The 14,452-nt window shown below is 38.6% G+C and overlaps 1 annotated feature.

Annotated features, from left to right (window-relative positions):
- Nucleotides 7,693-8,892: an enhancer, noted in NCBI's record as "BRD4-independent group 4 enhancer chr1:90876847-90878046 (GRCh37/hg19 assembly coordinates)". NCBI's record gives its function as "activates an origin of replication core promoter dependent on BRD2, P300/CBP, MED14 and CDK7 cofactors, and independent of BRD4, by STARR-seq in HCT116 cells {active_cell/tissue: HCT116}" and the evidence as "EXISTENCE:reporter gene assay evidence [ECO:0000049][PMID:35650434]".

A 14,452-nucleotide genomic window follows, 5' to 3' on the forward strand; every position in this document is an offset into this window, starting at 1 on the left:
AGTGTTCACAAATTAGGGTGGTATTGGCAACAGTTACATATGGAAGCTGAGGAACATTTTACAATACTAAACAGTACATATTTATCTCAAGTTTGTCTGTATATAGGTCTGGATGTGATAGGTATGAAGTGCAATACTGAGACAACTAGATAAACACTAAGCTCTAGAATTGTGCATATTTTACATTATAAAAATATTAAAAATATTTAATTGAGTTTTCTTTTTTTAACTTTTAGGTTCAGGGGTACATCTGCAACTTTGTTATATAGGTAAACTGAGTGTCACAGAGGTTTGGTGTGTAAATTATTTTGTCACCCAGGTAATAAGTATAGTACCCAATAGATATTTTTTCTGATCATCTCTCTCCTCCCACCCTCCACCCTCAAGTAGGCCCCAGTGTCTATTGTTCCCCTCATAGTGTCCATGTATTCTCATTGTTTAGATCCCACTTAAAAGTGAGAACATGTGCTATTTGGTTTTCTGTCCCTTTGTTGGTTTGCCTAGGATAATGACCTCTAACTCCACCCATGTTGCTCCAAAGGACATGATCTCATTCCTTTGTATGGCTGCATAGTATTCCATGGTATATATGTACCACATTTTCTTTATCTAGTCTACCATAGATGGGCATTTAGGTTAATTCCATGTCTTCACTATTGTGCATAGTGCTGCAATGAACATATATAGGCATGTGTCTTTTCAGTCGAATGATTTGTATTCCTTTGGGTATATACCCAATAATACGGTTGCTGGGTTGAATGATAATTCTGTTTTAAGTTCTTTGAGAAATCACCACAGTACTTTCCGCAATGGCTGAATTAATTTACACAGCCACCAGCAGTGTATAAGTGTTCTCTTTTCTCCACTATCTCACTAGCATCTGTTATTTTTGAATTTTCAAAAGATTAAATAATATTTCAGCTTTCTTTTCTAATTTTATTTAAAATTTGGATAGTCAATTATAATTTGCATTTGCCTTTTAATTGTAATAAACAATATTGACTATTTTAGAAAAAACTAACCCTTGAAATATAGAAAAGTACTTTAATCCTTTAATTTTATTAAACACCTAGACATGTGCAATAATCATTAAATTCAGTTATCTGATATTTTGCAGCCCTTCAGTTACATAAAAACCAAAAATCATAGCTTCACATGTGCTTTTTCTGTTTTTGTTATTAGAAAGGTACATTTTCCTGAGTAGGAGAATAGAACATATTTAACAGTTTATTAGCTTAATTTATAATTTTTAGTATTTAGATATATGATTTTCAACTTTTACCTCTCGTCTGGGTCCCACAGATGTTATGGATGTCTGGGTCAATGAACCTGGAGACTTGTCTAGTTCATGTAGGGTCCTGTAGACCATGATAAGGAATTTGGATTTGATTCGAAGTTTAATGGTAATCAATGGATTGTTCTGAGCTGGGTACTGGCCAACTGGAAGCCCATTTCTATTTTGCAGGATCAGTGCAACTTTAATTAACTGGAAACCAAAAGATCAGATCAAGGATTTCTCCCCCTCCCATCACTCCTAACTAGAAAACTCTAGAACTGTCCTAGGGTTTCCAACACCATTTCAGACCACAAAGTCTAATTTAGTGAGTGGTCTGACTTACCCAACACATGATGGACAGCTGAAGTAAAAAAGAGATTTCCCTTAAGTAAGACATAATTTCCCCTTGGGTGGCCTTGACTTTCCGCATGCAAACAATGGATAAAATAGATTGATTTTCTAGGATGACCATATGCCATATTCAGACAGTATATTCTCTGCAGTCAGGCTGTCTGCTTTGAATCTTGGCTTCTCCACTCTCTAGAGCTATATGCCCTTGGAACAATTTACTTGACCTTTCTCTCTCCCTGTGTGTGCGGATGAGGGGTGTTAATGATAATATCTGCCTTATAAGATTGTTGTGAAGATTAAATGAAATAAACTACACAAAATTTACAACAGGACCTAGTGTATTTTAAGCACTTAAAATATTTTTTATGTATCATTATTTCTCATCTTCTTGGCTACCAATGAAAAAAATGAGAAAAGCCAGCTTTCAATTCTGTGAGTTTGGGTTTTTTAAATTAAGCAATTCATAAAGAAGTGAGCTTTCCAGAATTGGCACTATTCGGGCAGGGGACTGGATAATTATTTTTGTTGAGAATTGTAGACATAATTTCAGCCTAAGAGAGAAATTGAATTTCATGAGCTTTTTCTAACGTCAAGGTTTTATGCTTCTTACCATTAATTCAGCTTCCTGTGAGTGCCCCAGCCTTGCAGAGTTTATAATCTCATTGGAGAAATTAGAATGACTCACATAAAGCAGGTAACAATAAAGGAGAAAGTAGTCATGATGAAGGGCCCTGAGGGTAAATGGATAGTGGCGGGTCCAGGTAGGAAGCAGGCAGGAAGATTTCCTGGATCAGGTGGGATTTTTTTCAACACACAGCAGAGGTACACTGGTTGGGTAGAGAGGGAGGAGAATGATCCAAGAATGCTTACGTCGAGACCCCCAACTTGTCCCACTAAGACAGAGCTTCACATGCCTCCCTCACTACTGCTCATGCCCCACTCAGAACTGCTCTATCCTCCAGCTCTCATGGGAACAGAGGACTGGGTTCTGAGGAACCTCTGTGAACACTAGACAGACAGCAGAGGTGGGATGAATTGCCCTTCTCCATACTTCTGTACTGGGATTTGAACTGTTTCTCATTGCCCATATCCCAGTGAGCTGGCCCAGTTCCGTTATTGACACTGAGGCATGGAACCTTTCTACTAAGACTGTGGCCAAGGACCAGCAGCTCTGGCTTATTAGAAACAGAGCACTGGCAGCCTAAGACCTACTGAATTTAAATTTGCATTTTAACAAGAGCCCCAGGTGAGTTTTATGTGCCTTAAAGTGTGAGAAGTACTTTTAAAACAGTGGTTCTCAAATCTGGGAGAGCTGGGTGAGAGTCTACCTGGAGGAGCTAGATACCCAGGTCTCTCCCCATATCTGTTGAACCAGAATTTCTGAGATGGGGTCTTGGTATCTATATTTTTTAAATGTGTAATTTTAAAAATTGGGAGCAAATGTGTTCAATCAGGCTTGGAAACTATTACTTTAGGGGAAAATACAGGTATAGCCTAGACTCCTGAGGCTCACAGAATTACCAATTAGCATCAGATTGTACCAATTGTGAAAAAAAATGCTAAGCCCTAAACGAAGACCTGGAGAAGTCACCCTAGTTACCCTATGACCCTGGACAAGGCTCTTGATAGGACTTAGCAAGTTATTTTTCTCATCTGTAAAGTGGGGATATTAAAGTATCCACTTTGTGGAATTGTTAAATACACACACACACTCTCTCTCTCTCTCTGAAACACAGCTCTTTAATTCTTGCTAATGTTGAAAAACTGGACAGAGTCAACTTCTACCTGGAATGATCTTCTCCCAGACACCCACATGACTCTCCATGATACTCCTTCAGCTCTCTCCCCAAACATCATCTCGTCCTAGTCAGGCTTTCCATATCTACTCAACACAAGAAAGCAAAATGTGCCGCCACCATCATCATTGTTCTTTATCCTTTGCTCTGCTTCTTATTCTTCTTTATAGTGTTTATCCTTGCCTGACACTTTAGATATTTATTTGCTAATTGACTGTCTCCTCAACTAAAATTTAAGGTCCACAACATAGAGACTTGGTCTTTCTCTTCACTGTGACAACCCTATTGCTAGAATGGTGACAAGCATACAGTAGACATCAATAACTATTTATTGGGTACTTGAATTAATAAATAAAATTTGATACTAATATTCCTTGACTCCTTAAGTATTCCCAATTAAAAGGCAGTAGGTCTCTTCAATAACTCGCTCCTGTATCACCTTCTATGTGAAGCCTTCCCAACAGACTCTTCTTGCCTTAGAGAGAATCAATGCTCCCCTCCTTGTGCTTTATATATTCTTTCCTCTAATTACTCACTATCAAGATATCTTCCTCAACTTCTCTATAGACTATGAGCTCCTCAACAGCAAGGACCATTTCTAGTTCATCTTGGGGCCGCCGATTCTTGTGTTTATTGAATGAAAAATGAGTGAATTTTCCCATCACAAAAGATGAAACCATACTCATATGCAACAAGAGTCTTTCTGATTTCAGAGTTGTAGCTTAGGGGGAAAAGTGGGGGTGGGGGGGAATTTTTTTTTTTTTAAAGCAGATATTCTTAAACAGCTATTGGTTTCCATTCCTGAATTCAGTCTCCTATATCTCATCCCTCTATCAAGATAAAAATGCAAGCCCATTGCTTGAATCATGAAGAGTTATGCCAATAAGCTTAGACTAAGGCAGGGGAGACCAGATGCTGCCGAGATAATGTCAAGTCCAGAATTAAAGAGAAGCCAGTGGACGGTTCCTAAAGCAATATTGCAGCATCTCAGTTTCCAGTACCAGAGGCCCATTGCGTCAATCTTTCAGCATACCTACTGTTCAATCTGTTAGGAGAAGCATGCAAAGCACATTTATTTCCAAGTGCCCAAGCTACTATACTAAATAATACAGGAAAAAGGTGAAAGGAGATAGAGAATTTAATTGCTCTTTGCCTGCAAAGCTCTTCAGTGCTTGCAGGAAAGACTGTCTGTAAGGATCCCATCTTAGGTACTCTTGCAGGCTCAGGAAGACTGTTTTCCATAGGGATACCAGGATTTGGCAAGATGGTAGGTACAGTGTACCCTCACCTTCCGACATTCATGAGTGTCAATTCAAAGACTTATATGTCAACTGTTGGAAGGATTGATGAAAACCTGCTTATGCCATTCTAAAATTTGACTTTACTAAATCTTTTTGTTTAAAAAATACTATTGTCTTTCCTATCTTTTTAAAAGTTTGCTTTTAGTAATTGAAAAATTCCTTCACACCAGTTTCCTCAATTTTTTTCATGCAGTCAGTATTTACTGAGTACCTAGATGTTGGACACCGCTGTGGGCACCAAGTGGGACTTCTAAGTTGGGAAGTGGGGGGAGACATTCAAATGCAGGGAAGGAAAGATATGCCAATACAGCTGTAATAGGGAATTTAATACTGATAAAAATTAAAGAAAGAAATGCACATTGGTAATTGATTCCAAAACTGCACCCAATTTCTGTGCTTCTGTTATTTATATACTTGCCACATGGAAACATTTTCTATCTGGTCATCACTAAACATGTCCCATGTGCAAGCACAAAATAAGCCAGTCTCAAGTCTGAGTAGAGAGATATAGCCTCTGCCCCGATTGCTTAAGAATGATCTGATGAACATTCAGTTGCTGTTCCCTGTTTAATTAATTCTGATGGGCTATTGATGTACCACAACTGTTTGTCCTAATAATGAGCTCCAAAATTAGAATGACTGCAACTCACTTAGACAGCTGCCACAAAAAATAAGTATTTGAAAGTGCTCTTGGTCAAGGCAATGGGGTAGAAATGGCTGTAGTTCAGCATCAAATTCACATGATTATGTCACATGAGTTTTATTTTTTCTTTTCAAGCATAGTTAACATACCAGCAGTGATGACTGCAAGAACTGTTACTAGCTGTAGAGTTGAGACTGCTACTTCATATCAGTATAGCAAGGATAAGCATGTAGCCAGACGTGTGCTAATGTGGAGTCAATATAGCAACAGGCATTGAACAATTTAGGTCAGTTCCTTGCAATGTTTAATTAGACTAATATATCTGTTTGCAATTAATAGCAGATGTGACAAGCTAATGTGTCCATGCACAGACAAATTAACCTCTGCCCATCAGCTGCTAGGATCTGTGAGAAAGCTGCCATGTTTTGCTTCTATCCATCCAAGTCTAAATAAAATTGCAGAAGAATTATAAACATGAATATTAGTAGAAAATACGCTGCACATGAAGCACTGTCCATAGGAAACTATTTTTCAGGCAGGCTGTCAGATTTTAACAATCACAACAAGAATTAACATTTGTGTTACCCTTTACTTTGTAAAAATCATTGTAATAGACTTTACTTTTTAGAGCAGTTTTAGGTTTACCACAAAATTGAGCGGCAGGTAGAAAGACTTCCCACAGATCCCCTGTCCCCACACATACATAGCCTTTTCCATCAACATCCCCCACCAGAGTGGTACCTTTGCTATAATTGAACCTATATTGTTACATCATTATCACAGAAAGTCCATCATTTTCATTAGAGTTCATTCTTGGTGTTGCAGTTCTATGGGTTTGGACAAATGTAAAATGACATGTATTCACCATTATAGTATCATACATAGTAGTTTCACTGCCCTAAAATCCCCTGTGCTCCTCCTATTCTTCCCTCCTCCCCCCAGCCAATCCCTGGCAACCACTTATCTTTTTATTGTCTCCATACTTTTTCCTTTTACAGAATGTCATGTAGTTGGAATAATATGATATATAGCCTTTTTCCAGACTTGTTTCTTTTACTTAATAATATGCATTTAAGTTTCCTCCATGTCTTTTCATGACTTGCTAGTTCACTTCTTCTTAGCACTGAGTAATATTCCATTGCTGGACGTACCATAGCTTATTTATCCATTCACCTGCTAAAGGACATCTTGGTCATTCCCAAGTGTTGGCAATTATAAACAAATCTTCTATAAACACCTGTGTGCAGGTTTTTGTGCAGATATAAGTTTTCAACTCCTTTGGGTAAATACCAAAGAGTGTGACTATTAGATAGTATGGTAAGAATATGTTTAGTTTTGTAAGAAACCACCAAACTGGCTTTTGAAGTGGCTGTAACACTTTGCATTCCCAACAGCAATGAATGAGAGTTTCTCTTGCTCCACATCCTCACCAATATTTGGTGTTGTCAGTGTTCTGGATTTTGACAATTTTAGTAGATGTATAGTAATATGCAATTATTGTTTTAGTTTGCATTTCCCTGATGACATACAATGTGGAGCAACTTTTCATATGCTTATGTGCCACCTGTATATATTCTTTGGTGAGATGCTTGTTAAGATCTTTAGCCCATTTTTTAATCAAGTGTTTTCTTGTTGTTAGGTTTCTTTACATTTTATAAAATATGGTCACATACATTGCACTTTTAGTTACTTAGTAATAAAAATAGTTTTGTAACTTTTCAACTATTGTAAAAGAGGCCTATCTGCTCCTAACATAGTTAGGGCTTAAGTCACTGAAATTTGGTATTATCTCCTCAAAATAAAGATTTCTGTAATGTACCTGGAAGCAATGCCCATTTCCCTGCTTTAATTAATTGCTATTATCCAATTCCACAGTGAGAACTTAGGGAAGAAGACAAATTTTCACAGGGCAGGATTTTTGAAAGGCAGATATTAGAAATGTCTTAATCCATTTTCTGTTGCTATAATAGATTACCACAGACTGGGTAATTTATAAAGAAAGGAAATTCATTTGGCCCATGGTTCTGCAGGCTGGGAAGTCCAAGAGTATGGCCCCAGCATCTGGAAAGAACACGGAGGAAGGCATTGTTACTGCCTGACCAGGTTCTTGCTTGCTGCCCAGACAGAGCTGAACACTGAGACAACAAGTATTGCAATGAAGAAATAGTTTAACTATTGCAAGGCAACTCAGCAAGGAGGATAGGAGATATTTCTCAAAATCACCTGCCAGAGACTTCAGAGGCTAGAGATTTTAAAGATGATTTGGCAGGCAGAAAGGTAGGGGATGTGTAATGCTGATTGGTCTGAGATGAAATCATAGGGGTGTTGAAGCTGTCTTCATGCATTGAATTGGTTCCTGAGAAAGGAGGTGAGTCACAAGACCAGCCAAGTCTGTTTCTTGGTTAACATCACAGGACACCGGTTCAGTTGGTGTCAGTTGGTTTACTTGCGGGCAAAGTCTAAAAAATATCTCAAAGACCAGTCTTCGGTTTTACAATAGTGTTTAAAACTGCCAGTTACTATGGAAAACAAGCTGGGAAACAATGGTGGGTTATTGTGTAACTATGCCTATAGCTTAGCAGGAAAGTTTGCAGAAGGTGAGATCCCTGGTAGTCAAAGCTGACTGGCACTCTCTTGACTAGTCCAACTTCTGGAAGCCATCAAGGGGGTCTTCATGATCTAAGGATCATTGTTCTTTAAAAGAAAAAACAAGTTCATCAATCTTGTAGGCAGCCTGCTCAGGGGCTAAGACAGGAAGATAATCAATTATTAGTGACTATCATTTGTTGAAATGACTATATGCAAGCAATCATGCATGGAGGAGGAAAAAGAGAGAAAGGAAAATATCTTACCAAAAATTTAAGCCCCGTGACAATTTTAATCTTGTGACTTTTTTTAATTTGTGAAGGTGGTTTCAGCATCACATAGTGAGTGTGTATGGGTAAGAGAAAGCTTGCTTTTATAACAAAGCCACTCCCACAATAACTAACCCACTCCAGGGATAACAGCATTAATCCATTCATGAGGGCAGAACCCTCATGACCCAATCGCCTCCCAAAGGCACTGCCTCTCAACACCACCCCAATGGCAACCAAGTTTCCAACATTTGAACTTTTGGAGGACATTCTCAAACCTTAGCACTGAGTGTTGGCTTTGTTTGGTTGGGAAGAATGTCAGGGGCAGGATTCAACTTCCTGTCTCTGCTATTCCTCCAAACCTCCTTTCAGAAGAGTCATGGGCTGCCCAGAACCCATGGGGGCAATGTCCAAATCTTCCTAGAGCTGTAGCCTTTTGGGGGAAGCAAAGAATTAGGCCTTTATTCTTAGTCTCTGGGCTGATAGTCATCAAGGAGCTCAAAATGGTTGCCGGGTTTGCAAATGATCATCTCAGGGGCATTTGGGCTGGGGTCATAGAGGCTCTTAAAGATGTGACATCAAGAAATTAAACTTTCCTCCTACCTTGTGAGCTGAGGCCAGCTCCCACAGTCCTTCCAACATCTCTCATGATCCTAGTTTGCTTTCTGCCAGGGAAATTCAGGGACCCTTGAATTCACTAGGAAACGGGTGGCATGGAAAATGCTCGGTTACATTTCTACAGAATCCAGTGACACATTCTCACTCTATTGTACAGTGTTTATGTGGATGAGTCTTGAAAGTCAATCATGTAGAAGTAGTACTGAAAAAGTATTTCCGCATTGGAAACCCCCACAAAGAAAACTCCTGCCAAGAAAAGAAGCCCAGCTTGAGACTCAAAAACTTCACAGGGACACGGAAAATGAGTGAATGCAAAAAGGATAAAGCCTCTGGGAGTATTTAGTCTCAAGAAGAGAAAGAAATGGTTCACTTAATGTCTCTTTAAACATAGGAAAGATTATTATTCAGAAGCTGTATCCAGATGTATGAACATTTCTCTACTAAGGATAGAACAGGAAACAATGGGCTTTAGCTAGAGAAGAAAAGGATATATATGTATAGGAGGGGGCTTCCTGACACTTGTGGTTATAAAGCATTATAATGGGATACTAGAGAGGCTGTCAAATGCACTTCCCCACAGAATTTTAAGAACATGACAGATACCTCTCTGTATAAAATGGTTTAGACAAAACCTCCCTGGAGGTTGGGGGAAGGAGCAGATGACTTCTTGGGGGCCCTTTCAGCCCTATGTGTTTATCATTTTAAAACTGGACTACAATACTTTTTCAGATAGGCCCTATCTAGTAAACTAGAAACTATATCATTTCTTTTTCTCATCCTCCTACACCCTGCGCAATCTCATTTTCTCTGTTTATACCTTGCTTTGCTGATGCCTACTTGACACTTGCTCTTTGGATATTGTGCTCACACTGTTAGGGCACCCTATGAGGTGTACAGACACTATTAAAGATGAATGGGACATTTGCAGAGACAAAAAGTTCTCATGCATGTACAAGGACACTGGAGATTTCCGCACTTGGAGACATAATCTTCTATAAAGCAAGCCTTACTTTAACAACATTTTTGCATTGATGTAAATCTCAGTTCAAGATTTTGAAATATTTTACTTGCATGGTGGTGGGGGGACCCTCATATTATATTATATATGGTTTGATATATATGAGGAAACTCATATATGATATATATGCGGAAACTCAGACATGGCATTCCTTTGAAGTCACATATCCCATTTATGTCTAGTGTCATCTCGACTGCTTTGTGCTAGAGGAGACCAAGGTGGCTGTCATTGGCTTTGTCCTCTATAGCACAAGGCAAACCTGAGAGCACATGAATGATGCTTCACAATGTGAAGGGCTCTTCTGAAACCCTTCACGTCTCCAGTTCCAGATGGTTGCCTGTCTTCTGTAATTCAGAATTTAACAAATGCATGTTGGCTTTCCAGGACATATCTTAACAAGAGAAGGTTGAAAATTAAGAGTCTGAGATTTACAAGGCCAATAAATTAGTTTAGGTCACCTGAGAATTACCCAGTTAAAGTCTTTTGAGAAATAATTCAATATCTAAACTGACTGCCAGCAGGAGAAACTGTTATATTAAGTAGAAGGAGCAAAACCATGAGCTTTAAATTTAAATAAAACCACTAACATGCAAGATGCATAGTTCTTACATAAATAGCAATGCATGCACAAATAAACCAGTTGTAAAATAAGTCACACTTTACCTATGAAATAATAAGTTAAAACTATAGTCCATACATTCATGCATGCAAGAAATGTCATTTTTATTAAATTTATTTTGAGCCCCAATTGGATAGGGTGTGGGAAACAAAAATCTCAGGCTATTTTAGTTCTCCCCCCATATTTCCCTGGAAGACCAGGAGTTCCGGGACACTTATGAGATGTCCAGTCATCAACTAGGAGCATCTGGTCCTCAGTACTGTGTAGTATCCATGCTGGCATTCACCTACATGTCTGCTGTGCCAACTGGCTTGTGGTCATCAGTCCATGCTGTTACCATAGCATCCTCCTTGTCTCCACTGCACAGATTCTTCAGGTCTGTTAGCTGTCTCCCAGCTACCTCTCCCTCTCAGTAGGTGGGGACATTATAATAACTGATCTCATTCTATGCTGAGGATTCAACCCTTTTCAGGCACCTTTCTGCAGGCAGGACAAGCTACATCAATTGTGAGGTCAAGTACAAAATGAGCACAATGGGTTCCTTATTAAAAAAGTATTAGGAGTCTTAAGGTGGTGACAGGAGAGTATTAGATCAAGAGTGAGGCCTGGGTGACTGAACATGCCACTTGGTCATGAAGTCTGCCCTGTATGTAGATACCCTGCTCCTGCTCACATGCCACACAGCATGTCAGCAATACCAAGATGCTTGCTCCTAAGCAGAGCATGCAGTCCTCTCTTCTCAGAAACTCAGACCTTTCTGGAGATTCTATCTCTGTACCAGAATTCACCAGGGGTGGAGATGTTTGGTGCATAGGACACAAGCCTTTCTCTCAGGCTAACAGATTCCGAGCTGCCTTCTTTCTTTCTCTAATTTTTCTCCCTCCACACAAACAGACCAGTGGACTCCACCAAGTCCAAGAGTGTGACAAGCTGACTTTTTTCTATTCTCAATATACAGCACACCTCATTTTATTGTGCTTTGCTTTATTGTGCTTCTCGGATTCAACACAAATTCAAGATTTGTGACAATCCTACTTTGAGCAAGTCTATCAGCGCCATTTTCCCAACAGCATGTGCTCACTTCATGTCTCTGTGTTATATTTTGGTAGTTCTCACATTATTTCAGACTTTTTATTATTATTAAATCTGTTACAGTAATCAGTGATATTTGATGTTACTGTCATCATTGTTTTAGGGTGGCATGAACCATGCCCATAGAAGACAGTGCAGTTAATTGATGAATGTGGTGTGTGTTCTGATTACTCCACTCACTGGCCATTCCCCCATCTCTCTTCCACTTCTCAGGACTCCCTATTCCCTAAGATACAATAATATTGAGATTAGGCCAATTAATAATCTTACAATGGCCTCTAAGTGTTCAAATGAAGAATTGCACATCTCTCATTTTAAATCAAAAGCTAGCAATGAATGATGAAGCTTAGTGAGGAAGGCATGTTGAAAGCCAAGACAGGCTGAAAGCCAGGCTTCTTGCACCAACTGGTTAGCCAAGATGTGAATGCAAAGGAAGTTTTTGAAGGAGATTAAAAGCACTACTTTAGTGAACACACAAATGATAAGAAAGCAAAACAGGCTTATTGCTGATACAGAGAAAGTTTTAGTGGTCTGAATAGAAAATCCAACCAGCCACAACATTCCCTTAAGTCAAAGCCTAATCCAGAGCAAGGCCTTAACTCTCCTCAGCTCACAAAGGCTGAGAGAGGTAAGAAAACTGCAGAAGAAAAGTTGGAAGCTAGCAGAGATTGGTTCATGAAGTTTAAGGAAAAAGCTATCTCTATAACATAAAAGTGCAAGGTGAAGCAGCAAGTGCTGATATAGGAACCGCAGCAAGTTATCCAGAAAATCTATCTAGCCAAGACAGTTTATGAAGACGGCTACACTAAACAACATATTTTCAGTGTAGATGAAACAGCCTTATATTGGAAGAAAATGACATCTAAAATTTCCATAGCTAGAGAGGAAAAGTCAATGCCTGGCTTCAAAGCTTTAGAAGACAGGCTGACTCTCTTGTTAGGGGTTAATGTAGCTGGTGACTTTAAATTGAAGCCAATGATCATTTACCACTCTGAAAGTTTCAGGGCCCTTACAAATTATGCTAAATCAACCCTGACTATACTATAGAAGTGAAACAACAATATCTGGATGACAGCACACCTGTTTAGAGCATGGTTTACCAAATATTTTAAGCCCACTGTTGAGACCTACTGCTCAGAAAAAAGAAATGTTCCTTTCAAAACATTACTGTTCATGTACAATGTACCTCATCAAAGCTCTGATGGAGTTGTGTAAGGAGATGGATGTTGTTTTCACACAATATCCATTCTATAGTTCATAAATCCAGGATTAATTTTGATTTTTATGTCTTATTTAAAAACTACATTTTATAAGGCTAGTAACTCCTCTGATGGATCTGGGCAAAATATATTGAAAATTTTCTAGAAATAATTCACCATTCTAGAAGCTATTAAGAACATTTGCCATTCATGGGAGGAGGTTAAAATATCAACATTAATAGGAGTTTGGATGAAGTCGATTTCAACCCTTATGGATAACTTCGAGGGGTTCAAGATTTCTGTGGAGGAAGTCACTGCAGATGTGGTAGAAATACCATGAGAGCTAGAATTAGTAGTGGATCCCAAATATGTAACAGAAGTCACGAGATTGCTGTAATCTCATGAGAAAATTTTAATGGTTAGGGAGTTGCTTCTTATGGATGAACAAAGTGATTTCTTGAGATTGAATGTACTCCTGATGAAGATGCTGTGAACATTATCGAAATGGCAACAAACAATTTAGATATTACATGAACTTAGCTGATAAAGCAGTGTCAGGGTTTGAGAGGATTGACTCCAATTGTAGAAGAAGTTTTACTATGGGTAAAATGCTGTCAAACAACATCACATGCTACAGAGCAATCTTTTGTGAAAGAAGGATAAATAGATGTGGCAAACTTCATCATTGTCTTATTTTAAGAAATTACCACAGCCACCCCAACCTTAAGCAACCACCACCCTGATCAGTCAGCAGCCATCAACATCAAGGCAAGAGCCTCCACCAGCAAAAAGGTTATGACTTGCTGAAAGCTCAAATGCTATTAGCATATTTTAGCAATATAATATTTGTCATTGAGGTATATAAACATACAGTATAATATGTTTACACTATACTGTAGTCCATTAAGTGGGCAATAGCATTACTCACTATTGTCCACTTAATGGACTACAGTATAGTGGAAACATAACTATTATGTGCACTGGGAAACCAAAAAAATGTGCATGACTCACTTCATTGTGATATTTGCTTTATTGCAATGGCCTGGACCCACAATATCTCTGAGGTTGAGATATGCCTGTTTTGTTTATGAGGAGAAAATTCATTATGCTCTGAGACCTGTGAAACTTAGACTTTTGAAATTAAACTAAAAGAACAGGCTATCTCAACTCAAAGGCCTTTTCTTTTGATACTATCATATATGCCATTTGCTATATAACGTATTTTAAAACACAAATCCTGTTTCAACTTCCTCTTCCCTCTTTCTACTATGGCATCCCTTCTTGGAATAAGTAAGCATCTAAATAATCCAGTTGCTAACAGAATTGGGGAAAAACCAATGGGTAACAGAAATGAAGGAAAAAACAACGAGTGGTTCTCAGTTTATCAATGAGAGAGGTTACGTATGTTGACCAACGTCACACGACTAAGTTGTAGAACTGGGACTTCAGCCTATGTGATTTGGTCCCTGAGTCTGAAATGTTTATCATAATGTTATACTGCCTTCTGTAGTAAGAACTAATACATGGAAGCTTCAATATTTATTTTGATGATAAAGTAGCAACGACTGGTTCCTTACATTTCCCCAAAACGAAAGCATGTGCAGACTATCAAACAAATTTATTTAAGATACAAAAAAGACAAAAGTTGCTTAGTGTGACATTCATTAGCTCTTTACCAAATTTT

The sequence above is a fragment of the Homo sapiens genome, chromosome 1 (assembly GCF_000001405.40).
Source record: "Homo sapiens chromosome 1, GRCh38.p14 Primary Assembly".
NCBI classification, from domain to species: domain Eukaryota; kingdom Metazoa; phylum Chordata; class Mammalia; order Primates; family Hominidae; genus Homo; species Homo sapiens.